The 16,332-nt window shown below is 56.7% G+C and overlaps 1 protein-coding gene, 1 long non-coding RNA gene and 1 pseudogene across 28 annotated transcripts, besides 4 other annotated features; 2 read left to right on the top strand and 1 right to left on the bottom strand.

Moving 5' to 3' along the window:
* Nucleotides 268–1,229: an enhancer, noted in NCBI's record as "H3K4me1 hESC enhancer chr12:58026214-58027175 (GRCh37/hg19 assembly coordinates)". NCBI's record gives its function as "activates a minimal SCP1, AML or CMV promoter by ChIP-STARR-seq in naive H9 embryonic stem cells {active_cell/tissue: H9 hESC(naive)}" and the evidence as "EXISTENCE:reporter gene assay evidence [ECO:0000049][PMID:30033119]".
* Nucleotides 426–725: a silencer, noted in NCBI's record as "silent region_4587". NCBI's record gives its function as "represses an Ori minimal core promoter by ATAC-STARR-seq in GM12878 lymphoblastoid cells {active_cell/tissue: GM12878}" and the evidence as "EXISTENCE:reporter gene assay evidence [ECO:0000049][PMID:35858748]".
* Nucleotides 459–10,251, top strand: B4GALNT1 (beta-1,4-N-acetyl-galactosaminyltransferase 1). 25 transcript variants are annotated; one of them, NM_001413983.1, is made up of 13 exons: nt 459–888; nt 1,079–1,119; nt 1,527–1,745; nt 2,296–2,321; nt 2,406–2,460; nt 2,574–2,680; nt 3,142–3,182; nt 3,328–3,508; nt 4,514–4,612; nt 4,757–4,947; nt 5,398–5,538; nt 5,802–6,042; nt 6,699–10,251. In NM_001413983.1, the coding sequence occupies exons 10-13, from the start codon at nt 4,933–4,935 to the stop codon at nt 6,914–6,916; spliced, it is 615 nt and encodes a 204-aa protein (NP_001400912.1). In that variant the 5' UTR covers nt 459–888; nt 1,079–1,119; nt 1,527–1,745; nt 2,296–2,321; nt 2,406–2,460; nt 2,574–2,680; nt 3,142–3,182; nt 3,328–3,508; nt 4,514–4,612; nt 4,757–4,932; the 3' UTR covers nt 6,917–10,251. The 25 variants fall into 25 exon arrangements, with proteins under 25 accessions (NP_001400912.1, NP_001400913.1, NP_001400911.1 ...); NM_001413984.1 differs by lacking the exon at nt 1,079–1,119; NM_001413982.1 differs by lacking the exon at nt 1,079–1,119 and having other exon boundaries at nt 5,769–6,042.
* SLC26A10P (solute carrier family 26 member 10, pseudogene) lies at nt 7,509–14,133 on the bottom strand (annotated as a pseudogene). Of its 2 annotated transcripts, NR_166679.1 has the most exons (16): nt 13,208–14,133; nt 12,568–12,725; nt 12,233–12,397; nt 11,818–11,970; nt 11,019–11,101; nt 10,726–10,873; nt 10,523–10,636; nt 9,747–9,824; nt 9,562–9,657; nt 9,054–9,160; nt 8,678–8,794; nt 8,504–8,537; nt 8,342–8,424; nt 8,196–8,250; nt 7,908–8,078; nt 7,509–7,662 (listed from the first exon to the last, which is right to left on the bottom strand). The product of NR_166679.1 is annotated as a solute carrier family 26 member 10, pseudogene, transcript variant 2 (transcript). The 2 variants fall into 2 exon arrangements; NR_166678.1 differs by lacking the exon at nt 9,054–9,160 and having other exon boundaries at nt 7,509–8,078; nt 8,330–8,424.
* LOC101927583 (uncharacterized) lies at nt 11,757–15,255 on the top strand. Its single transcript, NR_120450.1, has 4 exons — nt 11,757–13,019; nt 13,173–14,029; nt 14,823–14,920; nt 15,030–15,255. It is a non-coding gene; the product is annotated as an uncharacterized LOC101927583 (long non-coding RNA).
* Nucleotides 12,379–13,198: an enhancer, noted in NCBI's record as "H3K27ac-H3K4me1 hESC enhancer chr12:58014245-58015064 (GRCh37/hg19 assembly coordinates)". NCBI's record gives its function as "activates a minimal SCP1, AML or CMV promoter by ChIP-STARR-seq in naive H9 embryonic stem cells {active_cell/tissue: H9 hESC(naive)}" and the evidence as "EXISTENCE:reporter gene assay evidence [ECO:0000049][PMID:30033119]".
* Nucleotides 13,336–13,902: an enhancer, noted in NCBI's record as "H3K27ac-H3K4me1 hESC enhancer chr12:58013541-58014107 (GRCh37/hg19 assembly coordinates)". NCBI's record gives its function as "activates a minimal SCP1, AML or CMV promoter by ChIP-STARR-seq in naive H9 embryonic stem cells {active_cell/tissue: H9 hESC(naive)}" and the evidence as "EXISTENCE:reporter gene assay evidence [ECO:0000049][PMID:30033119]".

Below are 16,332 nucleotides of genomic sequence, written 5' to 3'. Positions count from 1 at the left end.
TCTGGCCTCTCTGGGGTTCCCTTCCTCCTGCAAGGTTGCACCAAGCGGCAGTTCGGGGAAATAGGGCCTTCAATTACCCAGTGTGTATCTCTTGAGTGTCTGTTAAATAATGGGGGGCAGGGCGGGGAGGAGGGGGAGAGGGAGGCTGTGCCTCAGTCTTTGTTAGCCAGGCAGAGCGTTTATTTTCCAGGGGTTGTTTCCTTTATCTTCATCCTAACATTCAAACTTGACTTGAGTTTTAGCGCGCCCCCGCCCTACCTCCTCCCAAAGCCCTTATTTGCCCATCCTTGCCTACAAGCTCAGAACGAGCAGGCAATGGAATGGATGTCGTGGGAGCAGGCGGTTGAGATGCCAGTGTTTGGAGGCTAAGGACTGGGGGCTGTGAGCGAGGACCTTCCCGCGTTTGCTCCGCGCCCCCGCAGTTTCCTCCGCGCCCACTAGAAGGCGCCGGGGCGCTCGCATTCCCCGCGCGGAGCCGAAGCAGCCGCAACGAGCCGGGAGCTGAGCCGCGCTGCGCTGCGGTGCGAAGAGCCGGGCGGCGGCCAGAGCCCTCCCCGCGCTGCCAGTGGGACGCGGAGCCAGGGATCCCCGGCTTTGCCCCGGGGCTGGGGTGCAACAGACTCTTAACTTGGTCCTCGCGCCCCGCCAACCGCCCCCGGGCAGGAAACGCCCAGAACCACCACCGCGCCGCGCTCCACAAAAGCCCCGGGAGTTCCAAGACGGGAGGGATCGGGCGCGCTCCAGAGGCAGGAGGGTCCCCCACACCCTCAGGCTCATGCCCAGCTCCCCCATCGGGCAGCCCCCAGCCCCATGAGGACCCTCAGGCCGGGGCGAGAGCCCGGCACAGCCCGGACCGAAATTTTGCCGCTGCCTTAGAGCGTTAGACAGGTCAGTGCCCGGGGGTGGGTGGGGGTGGGATTGGTTGGTGAGGGGAGGAGGAGGAGGCGGGAGGAGGCGGGAGGAGGCGCGCTTCCCGGTCCACTCTGTCCCCCGCGCCGCTTGCCGAGGCCACTCATCGGGTCACCTCCGCCGGGGGCGCCCGCCAGCACGGGCATGATTCTGCATTTTTTCCTGACAGGCTAGGTGTGGAGCCGCCCTCCGCAGCCCACCCCGGCCCAGGTGATGCTCAGACTGAGGAGTCGGGGGCGCGCCGGCCAGGGCGGGCGGCGGGCTTGGGGACTGCCACTGCCCTGATAGAGCGGGGCTTTTCCGCTTACGCACGGCCGCGTCGAAACCGCGGCATCCAAATGTCTTCAGCATTAAGATGCCAGGCCTCGGGTGTGTGAGGAAACCGAGATGCAGGAGAGGGCGAGAAGAAAGGAGGCCGGGAGACCCTGGGGCCTGGGAAGTGAGGGGAGGGGTACCGGGAAAACCGCGGCTGGCAGTGCAAACCCTAGCGCGATGTGTGGAGTGGAGAGCGCTCTTGGGAGCCGGCAGGAGCCTCTGAGGACGCGGGGGCCAAGGGCCCCATCCCTTGCCCTCCCTTCTTCCCTCCCTTTCTCACTCCCCACCCTACCCCCACCTAGGATGTGGCTGGGCCGCCGGGCCCTGTGCGCTCTGGTCCTTCTGCTCGCCTGCGCCTCGCTGGGGCTCCTGTACGCGAGCACCCGGGACGCGCCCGGCCTCCGGCTACCTCTTGCGCCGTGGGCGCCCCCGCAAAGCCCCCGCAGGCCCGAGCTGCCAGATCTTGCTCCTGAGCCCCGCTACGCACACATCCCGGTCAGGATCAAGGAGCAAGTAGTGGGGTGAGTGCCGACCGCGGCGGCGCAGCGCAGCGCTCGCTGGGGGTGGTCTGGGGGCTTTTGTTTTCTCCACTGCTGGGCTCAGATGCCTGCATTCTCCTAACGGGCTGTGTGGAGTGAAGTGGGAGGTGGAAGTGGGAGGCTGCTGAGGCTTGGGCTGGGGAAAATCTGTTCTCCCTGAACCTTGCCATGGGGATAAGGATGGGGATGGGCGTGGGAGGTTGTGCAGTCAAGGGAGGGCCCTGAAAGACTCCCTGAGGTCCTGATTCAGGTATGAGAAGAGACTCCAGGTGGGGTCCTGGTTGGTGGGTAGGCAGCTCCTGAAATCCTGGTAATTGGCCCTATCCTACAACTCTAAAATCCAGATTTAGGGGATAGGTCATCCGATCCTTGGTCCCCCTCCCGAGGACTATTTGAAGGGCAGCATTTAAGGGGACAGAGCCTAGACAGACAGAATTGCAGGGCCAAGGTGTGGGGTGCTGTGTCAGTGTTTATGGGATGAATGGAGCTGTGTAGCTGGGCTCTGATGACCCTCACTACCTACCCCCTTCAGGCTGCTGGCTTGGAACAACTGCAGTTGTGAGTCCAGTGGGGGGGGCCTCCCCCTCCCCTTCCAGAAACAAGTCCGAGCTATTGACCTCACCAAGGCCTTTGACCCTGCAGAGCTGAGGGCTGCCTCTGCCACAAGAGAGCAGGAGTTCCAGGCCTTTCTGTCGAGGTACCAGCTTGAAAGAAGCGCATGACTCCTCAGGGGGAGAGCAGTGATTGTGCCGGGAGGGAGAGACCCTCTCCCCCCGACTCTGCTCTGTCCTCTCCTTCCTCCACTGCCAGGAGCCAGTCCCCAGCTGACCAGCTGCTCATAGCCCCTGCCAACTCCCCGCTCCAGTACCCCCTACAGGGTGTGGAAGTTCAGCCCCTCAGGAGCATCTTGGTGCCAGGTAGGGAGGAGGGTCCCAGAGGATGACCTCAGCCACAGTGGGGGTGGCAGAGCCCAAGGTTGGGTGGGGAAGAATGGGAGATGATTGGAATGGGAGGTGGGAACCTCTGATGAATGGGGGACTTAAGCTCAAACGGCGGCTTAGGAGGTGGGAAGTGAGGACAGAAGGGACTCTAGGAATTTCAGAAGACTGTAACTGGGGAGTTTTGGGGGAAATAATCTATTCTTTGCTGACTAACCATTGGTTAGGTGGTGGTCAGGGCAGGCCATAGGGCAAGCTTTGACGGGACGGGCTCAAAAATCAGTCACTGTAGGCTATGTTATACAGTGTGCCCTGCTGAGGCCTCAATAAGAAGAATAGGTGGAAAGTTCTCTATTGTGTGTGGTGACAGCAGGGAGAGAAAATGAGAAAGAATTCAGGGCTGCCTATGTGATTCTGATCCCCCCACTCCTTTCTCCTAGGGCTGAGCCTTCAGGCAGCTTCTGGTCAGGAGGTATACCAGGTGAGAGAAAACAAGAAGGCAAGGAGGCCAAGTAGGCATCAAGAATGCTGGGAGGGAGGCAGGGCTACTAAGGGAAGGATGGGCGAATCAGGGAGGCAAGAAGTGGGTCTGGGGCCTAACCCTGCACTCTCCAATCCCCTCCTAGGTGAACCTGACTGCCTCCCTAGGCACCTGGGACGTGGCAGGGGAAGTGACTGGAGTTACTCTCACTGGAGAGGGTCAGGCAGATCTCACCCTTGTCAGCCCAGGGCTGGACCAACTCAACAGGCAACTACAACTGGTCACTTACAGCAGCCGAAGCTACCAGACCAACACAGCAGACACAGGTGCAAGGCCTGGGTGGAGAGACGGGCAGGCTGGGCAAACAGAGAAGAACCAGAAAGGCTGGAGTGGGCAAATGGCAGAGGGCATGGGAGGCATCTGGGCTATGGCCAGAGCTGTCCAGCCACACAATGGGTGCTTCAACTGGACCAGCAGGGCCAGAGGGAGAAAGGGGGCCTTTGTTCATCTGGGGCTGGAGCAGGCCAGAGGGAAACCCGAGCCTTGGGTGTGTCTCCCCTTTAGGCCAACTGTGGGGGGCCCCAGGAAGAGACTTGTCTAAGGAGTTAGAAGACTATATTCCCAACCCACCCCTTACTAGAGGGCAAAGGTCTTTACTTTCCTGAGATCCCATTTCTCTTCCAGCAAAAGAGGCCTAAAAGCCCTCTTTGCTTCTCCCCAAAGCTGGTTTGTTGCACTAAGTTTGCTTCCACCTTAGGGCCTTTGCACTTTCTATTTTCTCAGCCTGGAATGCTCTTCCCCAGATTTTTGCAGACTGGCTTCTTCTTGTCATTTAGATCTCAGTTCAAATGCCTCCTCTTCACTATCACATTACTTGTTTGTCTTATTTTCCACTCAATACTTACCAGTATCTGAATTTTTTAATTTACTTAGCCTGGCACCAGACTGACTAGGTTGCTATCAGTTTTGTTGCTTAATAGTTGTGTAAATGTGGCAAGTTACTTTTCTGTGTCTCAGCTTTTTTTTCTGTTGTAGGAATCTACTTAATAGGGCTATCATGGGGATAAAATGAGTGCATATATTTAAGGTAATTTTTTAACGGGTCTGGCACATAGTAAGTGCTCAATAAAGATTAGCTTTTACTTAAAATTTTCTTTGTTGTTTTTTCTCCTACCCATTAGAATGTAAGTTCCATAAAGGTAAGAACCTTCTGTTCTTGTCCACCAAGGCCTAGAAAGGTGGGACACAGAGTAGGCACTTAAATATTGATTGGCTGAAAACAGAATGTTATCCCACCCTTCAGGGTCAAATGCCATGTCCTTTCTTCCCAGTCCGGTTCTCCACCGAGGGACATGAGGCTGCTTTCACTATCCGCATAAGACACCCGCCCAACCCTCGGCTGTACCCACCTGGGTCTCTACCCCAGGGAGGTGAGGCTGGTAGGGGCAGGGACATATTAGAACCAGCCTTGGTGGGGAGCAAGTTGGGAGAGGGCAGTCCTGGGAGGGGATATCTACCTGTTCCCCTCTCCCAACCCTCCTTGTCTGCACCCAACCCTGTGCCCCCAATCTCAGCCCAGTACAACATCAGCGCTCTAGTCACGATTGCCACCAAGACCTTCCTCCGTTATGATCGGCTACGGGCTCTCATCACCAGTATCCGCCGCTTCTACCCAACGGTTACCGTGGTCATCGCTGACGACAGCGACAAGCCAGAGCGCGTTAGTGGCCCCTACGTGGAACACTATCTCATGCCCTTCGGCAAGGTGTGCAGCTAGCAGGCTGAACGGCAGGCCAGAGGACTCCCGCAGGGGGTGTGCCCTCAATCTGCAGCCTCCAGGGTAGTGATTCGAGGACCACCTGCCTCAGAATCATGGGGTGCCTGTTAAGCATGAGGATTCCTGGAATGTAAGCTTCGTGGGAGCAGGAAATTCTCTCTGAATTCTTAGAATGGTGCTTAGTGCCTAATGGCATTCAATAAAATAGCTGATGAATGAATAAATAAATGCACACGGAAATTAAACGCATTCTAAGACCACTGACTTGGAACCTCTGTGGGGATCTGCATTTCTTTTACCTAGCTCCTGGCCTTTCGAAAGCACTCAAAAGTCTGGAGAAGAATACAAGCTGAGAAGGGTCGGGGGAGAGAAAGAAAGGTGGCAGAGGGCCATGTCCTATTTCTGCAGCCTCCCCAACCACACACACCTTTCTGCCAGGGCTGGTTCGCAGGCCGGAACCTGGCCGTGTCTCAAGTAACCACCAAGTACGTGCTGTGGGTGGACGACGACTTCGTCTTCACGGCGCGGACGCGGCTGGAGAGGCTTGTGGACGTGCTGGAGCGGACGCCGCTGGACCTGGTAGGGCAGGGGCTGCAGGATGTGGGGGTGGAGAAGGGCCTTGAACAGGCTAAGGCCACAGCGGGGGCGCTGCGGCCAGGAACGGCCAGCCCTAGGACAAAGAGAGAACCACGAAGTGGGGCCTGGGAACTGTCTGGGTCCTGCAGGGGTGAAGCGGAAGAGGATGGGGCAGGGGTACCCCCGAAGGCACCGGAGCGCAGACCTTGACCCCTTCGGGTCCCCTATCCCAGGCCCGCCTGGAGGCAACCTCCCTCTCCCTGCAGGTGGGGGGCGCGGTGCGCGAGATCTCCGGCTTTGCCACCACTTATCGGCAGCTGCTGAGCGTGGAGCCCGGCGCCCCAGGCCTCGGGAACTGCCTCCGGCAAAGGCGCGGCTTCCACCACGAGCTCGTCGGCTTCCCAGGCTGCGTGGTCACCGACGGCGTGGTTAACTTCTTCCTGGCGCGGACTGACAAGGTGCGCGAGGTCGGTTTCGACCCCCGCCTCAGCCGCGTGGCTCATCTGGGTGAGTGGCACCCCCTCCCGGTCGACCCTGGCAGGAGCCCCACGGGGAGCTGGCGCACGGTCACGCGCCTCTCCTCCTAGGCTGCACCCGCGCCCAGCCGCCAGCGGGAACCCCAGAACAGTTCTGCAGTGATTTACCAAGACCTGCACCTGGGCGAGAGACAGCTCCCACCCTCTCCCAGCCCCGCATACTCTTTTTTTTTTTTTATAAATATATATATTTTTTGTTATACTTTAAGTTCTAGGGTACATGTGCACAACGTGCAGGTTTGTTACATGTGTATACATGTGCCATGTTGAATCTCCATTCCCAGCACAGCCGCTGGGCCCCCATAAGCTTCCCCATCACTGTTCCCGCCACCCCTGCTCTACTCCCAGGGCTTCCCCTAGTTCAGACCACAGTCGGTGCAACCCATCTGGCGTTTATTTAACCTCTGGGAGTAGGGGTAGGTTTTTCGATTTTCAAAGCACAAGTATATTGACTCCATTTACACAAGAGTAAGACTGAGACCCAGGGAGTTGATTTACATGCTCAGGGTCCTTAGAAACAAGCCTTTGCACACACACTTTCCACACCCTAAATTTGAGAGTTCTCCCTTACCAGTCGGCCTTCTGCACCCTCAGGATCCCTCACTGTGTACTCCCCTCCACCCCCAGAATTCTTCTTGGATGGGCTTGGTTCCCTTCGGGTTGGCTCCTGCTCCGACGTCGTGGTGGATCATGCATCCAAACTGAAGCTGCCTTGGACATCAAGGGATGCCGGAGCAGAGACTTACGCCCGGTACCGTTACCCAGGATCACTGGACGAGAGCCAGATGGCCAAACACCGGCTGCTCTTCTTCAAACACCGGCTGCAGTGCATGACCTCCCAGTGATGGCCCGCTGGGGATTTCTGACTGTCAGGCTGGGCCTGCCTCCTTGTCCCTGCCAGGAATTTCCAACAAACCCCACCACCCTGTGAGCACTCTACTGGCTGTCCCTGAGCCTCTAGTTCCTCACTCTTCCTTTTCAGAACCTGATGCCCAGTAGGGGTTGTCCTGGTGACACCCCTCCTTTTTCCAGTGCCCAGAGGCCTGGTGGAGCCATAACCTCTCCCACAGCCAGTGCCAAGTCCTCCCCCTGCCCATTCTCATGGGGCAGGAAATGGGGGGATCACTTTCCAAGTGCCAAAGAGCCCAGAGGGACTCTAAGAACCTAAGGTGGAAACACTGTCCTCTCATCTTGGGACCGAGGGGGTGGGGAAGTTCCCCAACACATAATCCCAAGACTGTGCCCCTCATCTGCATCTTCAGATCCAGTACTCTGTGTACCTGCTCCAGCCCCACCCCCACAGAGAGAACTTGTGGCTCTGGGGCTGGGGTGAGGGCTGGTGGTTGGTGAAAGCCATTCTTAGTTGTGTCTCTGCAATGCTGTGGGCACAAAAGAAGGGGCACCAGAGTCCCTGTGCAAACACCTAGACTCACTTCATGGATTCCAAAGCTCTCAGCTTCATTTTATTAGTTACGTTAGGTAAGGGGGTTCAAGGGTCATGGTCCTCATCACACACATGTCATCAGGGCCCTCTGCACTCCACATGATGAGGTCAGACCCACACGGTGCAAATCTTTGGGTCAGTGAGCTCCTGGAGAAGAGAGGAGACATGTCAGGAATAGATTAGGCACCCCTCTTCCTTAATGAAATGTGGCAGTCCTCTCAGGGGTACCCCACCTACTTAGGGATCTGAGTTCTTCAGTTCCTCACCCATAGCTCAGCCCGGGCTCCCTGATTTGGTCTTCAATCTACTATTCATTCCGTCCCCACCCTTTTCTTCTTGATCTTCCTCAGACCCTTTCCCAAACCCCTCTCCCTGGGTCTCCAGCCACTTACCCCTGCCTCACTTGCCGCAGCCCAGTGCCTCCTGGCTCCCGCTCCTGGTGCTACTGCCCCTTAACAGGCTCCCCAGGGCATAAGCAGCTGCATCCTGCACACTCACAAACAGCTGATCTGGAGTCACCCTGTCCAGGAGTCCTACCCGGGTCAGTGTCCCCTGCACCAAGGCTATGTGGGGAGGGTGTCAGACTCTGAGACCCTAAGTCCACACCGGGTCCTTTTCCCTACCGCAGGTGTCCAGTCATTGCCCAGGCACTGGGCCCCGCTCTTCTCCACACATCTCACCATTACACTGAGCCAGGAGGAGGCGGATCCTAGCATCTCGACATCGGCTGGCCAGCTGCAGGGATGGGGCAAAGGGGTTAAGTCCCAGATCAGAGGGTATGAGTGAGATGCTAAGGGGTTTCTCCTCAACCTACCCTCTCCCTCACCTGCACCACTTCTCTGGCCCCAGCAGCATCTGCAAAGGTGACACCACTGAAGTCTAGGACCACCACCCTGACAGGCTCAGCAACTAGAATGGGAGAAGACAGGAGTACCCAGGTGTCACCATGCAACATGCCCAAATCTTCCTTCTTGTCACCCCATCTCACCTGCAACCATTGGGCCATCTGGCTTTGAAGTCTCCTATAAGTAAAGAAGGGCAGTCACCACTCCCGAAACACAGCATGAACATGCACCCCTTGAGCACAAGGATCCCCCTCAGAACACCCACCTGCCTCCCACTCCCTGAGGATCCACATCCCTCCTAAACCAAGCTCCTTCACCTTTTCTCCTTCTCCGAGCCCCAGGTGCCACTCCAGGTTGCAGCGAAACTGCCCACGGGTCCCAAAGTACAGTGGTGTTGGATAGCTCAGGATGCAGAGCCCCGGGACCTGGAGGAGCTAAGAGGTCAAAGGATCAGAGAAATGTCTGGGGCTAATCTTCCCTTCCTTCTTTGGCTGCAGCCCACCCACCCTGGGGCTTCCTCTGAGTGGTCTGTAGAGCTCTGTCCCCTCAGCCTGTCCAAGTGCCAGGCACTACACCCTAGGGAAGAAGGTGGGGCCAGATTTCCAGCTTAGCCTGGCCTGGCTGGAGAGTCACCCCAAGCACCTCATTCTCTTCCCCTGCCCCGACCTCAACTCCACTCATCTCTATGCCCACCTCCGGGTGCGGCAGACCACAGTCATCATGGAGAAGACCACACCCACAGCCAGGCCCAAATCCACACTCAGGGTCACTACTGCCACCCAGGTGACCATCCACACAGCCTGCAGGATAGGGATAGGGGTGGATTGCCCAAAAGAAAAGCCAGGCCATCACTGCTGGGTAAAGAGATCCAGGGCAGTGACTACCAAGGCAAGTGATGGGGAGAGATGATCCAGGAAGAAGTGGAAAGCATGACAGAAGGAAACAACAGGGTTGATTCAATGGGACACACACCAAATGTAATGACCCGCACCAGTTGGGAAGTTACAAATATTCAGGCCAAAGGGGTTCAAACCCCATCCTTTCCCTTGCCTGTGAGTAAAGCATACTAGGAGTTATGTTTGCTGGGGGAGTGGGTGGGTTGCAGAACTTAAGACCAGGACAATTAGGTTTGGTTCAGGGCAGAGGCTGGGGATGCTAACAAGATGAGAGGGGGCAATCTGGGGGTAATGGCATTTCTCACAAAGTCCACTCGGCTGATGTGCCATAGTTGTGGAAGTTCCTGCATCTGGCAGAACACCTGGCGCATGCTGGAGATGTTGATGCAAGCCAGGACAGCCTTGAGGCAGAGGAGGTGGGCTGACTACCTCGATGTCCTGGAATACAGCTACCCCTCCCAGCCATGCTCATGCCTCCTCTGCTCATTACCTTGGGCAGATAGTAAAAGAAGGGCCCCAGCCACAGCAGCACCGACAGGACCACTGTGCAGGAGAAGAGGCCTGCCAGCTAGAGAAAAGGAGGAACAGGAGCAAAAAAGGAAGAGAGCCTCCCACCCCCACATGAGAGCTGGTCTTCCTGCCCACTCTGCCTAATCTTCCTCGGAAGTCTCCCTTCTCCCAAATCTCCTTCCACACAACCCCCTTCTTAATATTCTGCCATTCACATCTAACCCTCCCGCTCCCCCCAATTAATTAAATGCCCATTATTCACCAGTCTCCTTGTAGATGTCCATTGTTCAAGTTCCCCAGTTTTGTAGCCCACCTCCACCTTAAAAGCCACTGTTGGGTTACCCTATAAGCAGGGTATATGTGTTTAGGGCACCAGCAAAGTAAGGGAAACCAAAAATATTAGGGGGAGACTTTGATATGTGATATTCCTTTTAAAAGACAATGTCATTGTGTGAAAAAAATAAGAATTTTATCTCTTAAGTTTATTTTATAGTTTTGTGTTTTTATTTTGAACCACACCTGGGGCACCATAAACTTTTTCAGCGCTTAGAGCCTACAAAGGTCTTACTGGAACATTGTTATCTTCCATCTCTCCTATCTATAATTCCATCCCCTCAGTCACCCTTTCTCACAGATCCCCAGTCTTCTCTATATAGGTGCCACCTGGGATTCTAGCCATCTTCCACCTGTTTCTCCACCACCGCCACCTTGCCTGGATGGCCCATCCTTTCTCCTCATCCAAGGATGCCCTCTTACCTGTGTTTTCCCACCAGCATCCACCAGTAGATTGGTGGTGGCCAGCGTAGCCGAGTTGGGAAAGCAAGAGAAGAGGGAGGAGATGAGGTTGGAGGCACCATGTGCCAGGAACTCCTGGAGGGATACAGTGAGATGAAGTGGGAGAGACAAAGGCATGGTGGGAAGTCAAATGAGAGGGTTGGGGTCCACAGTCAGAGTCCCACCTGGTTGGAGTCAATAGTGTAGCTATACTTGTCTGCATGGATGGAGGCCAGGGAGGCAGACACCGCAAAACTAACCAGTGCAATGGGCAGCGAGTCAGCCAGAATCCTGGGCAGCTCAGCCAGGTTGGGGAGGAGGGGTTGGGGAAATCTGGAGAGGGAGGGATCCATGGTGAGGAGGGGTTAGGTGCTTCAGTGAGATAAGGAAGGCAGAGAAAATGGGGGGTGGAGATAAGAGGGAGTGTTGGGTGGGAGAGGTGGGAGAAGAGAAAGCTGGCATCTTTTCATTCTCTTACCCTCCAGGCAACAGCCCCACTATCTGGACTTGGTATCTTGTGTCCACAGAAGAGGTGAAGCAGAGCACGGAGGCCAGAAGCACCTGAAAAAGAGAGCAAAATGAAGGCATGGGAAGAGATGGGGTCCCTGGCAGAAGCTAGAAGGGGCTGACCATGAGAGAGGACCATAATGCAGGCCTAGCTGGCTGCAGGAGCCCAGCACCTGGGGGAGCGGGGATGTGTTTGGGATGAGGGCCTGACAACTGATTTGTAGTGTAGAGCTGGGAAAGAGGGATGACATATGCCTGAGGCCACAGAGCCTGGAGCCGTGGAAGTAAGAGGACGCTTCTGTGAAGGATGGTGGATATGAAGAGATGCCACTGAGCCTTCCAAAGAGGGAAGCTGGACGATATCTAGTGATATACTGGCATCTGTGGAGACGCGGAACGTTTATTTAGTTGGGGAGAGAGAGAAATGTCGGTGGAGGGTGGAGAGGGAGATGCACTGTGAATTACAGGGAAGGACCCTGGTGAGGACAGATGTCAGAGAAGGTGCTGTGACCAGCAAGACCTCAAGGGAGCGCTGTAGGATGGCAGAGGAAACTCCAAGAGGTCTAGGGGGTGCTCCGTGAGAGACGTGGGACAGTGTCGAGGGGGGCTGTGGAAGGTCAAAGCGTCCTTCTGCAGGAGGCCAAGGAAAGTGTGAGCCGGCCCTCTGTTCCGTGGCCTCTCTGCACTCCACCAGGGGGCGGCAGCGGCCAGTTCCCACAGGACCGCAGGGTCTGCGCGGGCAGGGGGCCGGCGCGCACGGCCATCCTCACCAAGACGACTTCCCCCGGGATCGGCGTGGGTAGCCGGTCTCGGAATCTCACGTTCAATTCCTTGACCGGCACGAGCAGCGCCAGGCTGAGCGCGGAGATGGTCAGTTCGGCCGGACTGCTCCGAGGCAGCGCAGTCAGCAAGGAGGCCAGCGTCTGAGGGCAGGGGCGATGAGCAGAGGGCCCCGTGCCAGGGCTCATGCGCCCCGGCGCGGGACCCCCAGAGCGAGGCCCTCTCTACCCAGTGCCACCAGGGCTTACACCTCCTCAGCGCCCTCGTTCAGCCACGTGGCTCCAACCTCCTTTCCTGCTCCCTTGTCACATACTACCCCTCCACCCTCCGTCCTTCCTCCCTTTTCGAGTTTCCCTATTCACGGGACCTCTAGAAGCCCCTTCTCCTTTCTTCTTCCACCCCCACCTTGAAGAGAGAGAAGCAGCCGATCTGGCGCGGGAGGGACAACCCCAAGAGGCTCGGCAGCTGGGACAAGAGCACGTGCAGCGCGGCCCCGCTGGTCAGCGCCTTGACCACAGGCTCGGACAAAAAGGTGGACAAGACGCCGAGCTGCAGCACGAACATCCCCAGCTGTGGGGGAGAAGACGCGCTGTCACCATCTAGAGGAGGAGCAAACCAACCCCGCGCACCTCCGCCCTCCCGAACCCAAGCCGAAAGCTGGTCCCTCCCTCTTCCCCGGCCCAATTTCCCTGGCCCCTCAGCAGGGATCCCCCCGGGTTCCTCCCCGGGTCCTCCCTCACCATCAACGCCCCGCTCCCGAAGGCCACGGCCGCGGCTACCCCAACCCGTTGAGCGTCCAGCTGCTCCTTCTCGATTCCGCTCAGATTCCCCACGAGGGGTTCCGGCACCAGCCGCTCGACGGCCGAGCCTGTCATGAGGCTGAGTATGGCGAAAGTTCCTGCCGCCGGGGGACAAATGCAGACATCACCAGCTGTGCAGCCCTGGGCAGGGCAGCAGCTCAGGGTCCATGCCTTGGGTCCGAGATCCTGCTGCCAGACTCGGCTCTCCAAGAAGGCTGCTGCCCCGTCAAGACTGTGGGGCGCGAAGAGCTGCGCTAGCCGGCAAAAACTGCTCCCTCCTGCAGATTCTCTGCCTACTGCGTGCCCCTTTGGGGGACCATGCACCTATTCTTCCCCTTCCAAGTCCCTGAGATGTTCATTTTAACCAAATTTCATAGGGGAAAAAAGTTCAGGTAAACTCCCACCTCTTTGCACCCACTCTAGCAAGCATTGCCTAGGTCAGTTTCCTGGCAGGGTTGGGCAAGGAGGGAGGTGAAGGTAGGAGAGGTGAAGAGGGAAATTAGGAAGAAGGGAAATAACAGCCCCTGTCCATTTTCATCCCATAGGGAAGAAGAGTCATTGGAAGTCCCTGGTCACTCACCTGTGGACAGGTGTCTCCCAGTACCTAGCAAGCTGTAGATGAGGACGGGGAAGAAAGAAGTGTAGAGTCCAAACACCGGGGGCACGGAGGCCAGGAGAGCAAAAGCCATGCCTGGGATAGAAGTGGATGGAAAGGTGTGCTGTGGGGAGGGGGCCTTGTCCAACCTCCAGGACTTAAATGCACTTCCCAGACTCTTAGGAGCTGACATCAAGGATGCTAAATCAAGCCTCATCAGGGAACTGAGGGGTTAATGGGCCTCAGTGAGAGGTCATGGAGCAGACAAGGTCAGGGACGCTGTGGCCAAGTCCTGGGGGCCAGGCGTTGTGCCTCTCTCCGGTTCTCTGAGCCAGAACCTGTCTAAGGCTTCTCGCAGGATTGCGCAGATGAGGGGAGGTGGGGATGGGGATCTGATGGAGCTCCACAGTCCTTACCTCAAACTTGGCCTCAGATCCCTCTCTCCCACCCTCGACGGTAGGAACCCACCATCTGCTCCCGGATTCCCAGCTCCCTAAGCCTCCTCCCGGAAGCCCTCTAGAGCTTGTGCTCCCGACAGGCTGCTGTTAGGGCCTCTCACCCTGGGGCACGTGCACGATGCCCACGGTCACTCCGGCCACCGCATCTCCGAGCAGCCAGGCCCGCCAGCGGTAATGGGGCAGCCAGTGCAGCGCGGGCAGCCGAGCCAGCAGCAGGCGCCACGCCCCTGTCCCGGAACAAGCGCGAGCCCGCAGCCTCCACAGCCCGAAGAGCCGGGGAAAGCCGCGCTCTTCAGGTAGCTCCGGTTCCTGCTCTTCGCCCCTGAAGAGCTGATGGAACCGAGCCTCGGTGAGAGCTTCCCTGAGCCTGGTCGCCAAGGGGTACTTAAGGTCAGAGGTGTCCCCCGCGCCTGGGTAGGTCCTGGTGCCCTGAATCCCGCTCATTCTGCCCTTGGCCACCTCCAACTCCGCCCGGTCTTAAATACTCCTCCGCCCGCTAAGCCCTGAGTCCCGCCTCCCACGAAGCAGGGTCCAATCCGGCCCTGAGGTCACCCTCGCTTGAGGACCTTCTCGGGTCTGGCGAGAGCCGCGGCTTGGAGAGGGAGAGTCTCTATGTTAGGCGTTTCTGCAGACATCCTTGGCCGGATCTGATCGCTGGCTCTGGGGTGGCTGTGGAAATGTGTAGATATTAGAGAGAGAGAATCCGAAAGGCAAGCGCACCCCGACACTCAACACCCGCTATTTACCCTTCCTTAGACTTTTCACTTAACTCCCGGTTCCTTTCCCCATCGGCACCTTGGGCGGAGAGAGAGGCTGGTTCCTCTTGGGTCACTGGTCCTTCCCTGAGCCACTACATTCTCCCAGCCAGAGCAAAAAAGTTCAGCGCCCATCCTGAACCTCACCCAGACCCACATCTTCATGGGGCACAGCTGGTTCCAAAAAGCAGTTTCATGTCCTACTGACATGGAATGCAGCCACATGTATTGGAGAGGGATAATGACAGAACCAGCACCCACACCTCTGTGAGGAGTGGCTGGGCCTAGTTCAGGGCCTCAGGGGAAATACTGAACCCACAGGATATTTTTTTCTTAGGAACCAAAAAAACTGAAGCACCATTTATCACATTCAAATGCTTTTCACAGGCCAGGTGAAATGGCTTACGCCTGTAATCCCAGCACTTTGAGGCCGAGGCAGGTGGATCACCTGAGGTCAGGAGTTTGAGACCAGCCTGACCAACATGGTGAAACCCTGTCTTTACTAAAATATACAAAAATTAGCTGGTTATGGTGGCAGGTGCCTGTAATTCCAGCTACTCAGGAGGCTGAAGCAGGATAATCGCTTGAACCCAGGAGGTGGAGGTTGCAGTAAGCCGAGATGGAGCCACTGCATTCAAGCCTGGGCGACAGAGCAAGACTCCATCTCAAAAAGAACAAAAAACAAACAAACAAAAAACAAATGCTGTTCACAAAGTAGGCATTCAAAAGCACATATGTGGTCAAACTAAGTTCAAAGGGGTCAGCCACCCCGCTCATGTGTCCCTATGGTTCCTAAAGAAATATAAAGGTTCTAACTCCAGAATCCTGCTGTTTGCCATGATCCTCCACCCCCATTCACAAGAATCTTCGGCACCCCTCCCCATGATCCTCTGGTCCCCCAGTCCACGACCCCAAAGCCCGGGGGGTGGGGTGCAGTGAGGGTGGGTCTCCCTTCTTCAGTTCCTCCTATTGTTCCGCAGAAGTCTTATCTGGGCGCTACATCCTGTACCCCCCTTAGGAATCCCTCCCTATTATCGGCTAAAGGGACCTCGGGCCCACAGGGAGGCTCCAGGTCTCCTCCTCACCCTCCCACCCCAGCAGTCTATTGTCTGTTGAGGAAGCCCAAGTGCACGTGACTGAGCCCAAGGGACGAATGGATACAGTGGACTCGGAGATGCATTAAGGACCCAGGACAGGGCATCTGGACATGGCTGTGTGAATGTTTGGCTCGCTCTGTTCCAGCGGCTCTCCCAGAAGTTGGGAGGGGTGAAGATCCCCTTGGGCTGTCCGCTCTTGGGTCCATGGCTTGAAGAAGAATCCCCTTCTGCTCACTATGAACATGGCTTATGACCTCGCAGAGAGCAAAGATAAGGAGACCCAGAGCCAGGAAAAGGTCTCAGCCCCCAGGATCCTCTCCACCTTCCCATCCTCCCTCAGCTGAACATGGTAGCCTCAGAAGGAAAGGTACATTGGCATTTTGTGCTTTCGTATCTGGGTGTTGGGGGAATGGTGAGAAGTCACACTGCATTGGGCTTTCTGGTGGGGTCTAGACCAGAGGGTGGGTAGGGAAAAAGAAGGGCTGGGTAAAGAGGATACATCAAGAATCTAGGGCTGGCCAGATGCAACGGCTCATGGCTGCAATCCCAGCACTTTGGGAGGGCAAGACTGGTGGATCACTTGAGCCCAGGAGTTCAAGACCCTGGGCTACATAGTGAGACCCTAACTCTACAAAAAAAAAAAGGGAAGAAGAAGAATCTAAGGGCTTTCCAGTGGTTCCATGCCTCAGTCTTTGTCCCTCAACTGCTGCAACTGCAGTTGAGGGACAAAGATAGCAACATCTTTTATCTTACACCCTGTCCCCTTCTCCTTTCACCAGACCCCCTCCTCCAATGGCTGG

This window comes from Homo sapiens, chromosome 12 (assembly GCF_000001405.40).
Source record: "Homo sapiens chromosome 12, GRCh38.p14 Primary Assembly".
NCBI classification, from domain to species: domain Eukaryota; kingdom Metazoa; phylum Chordata; class Mammalia; order Primates; family Hominidae; genus Homo; species Homo sapiens.
This window is presented reverse-complemented; position numbering and strand designations above follow the sequence as displayed.

Coding starts and splice junctions, on each gene's coding strand:
- B4GALNT1 (XM_047428680.1), top strand. CDS start 1,297: ATGCAGGAGAGGGCGAGAAGAAAGGAGGCCGGGAGACCCTGGGGCCTG. Junction 3,183..3,327: donor CTGGTCAGGAGGTATACCAG/GTGAGAGAAAAC, acceptor ATCCCCTCCTAG/GTGAACCTGACTGCCTCCCT. Junction 3,509..4,513: donor GACCAACACAGCAGACACAG/GTGCAAGGCCTG, acceptor CTTTCTTCCCAG/TCCGGTTCTCCACCGAGGGA.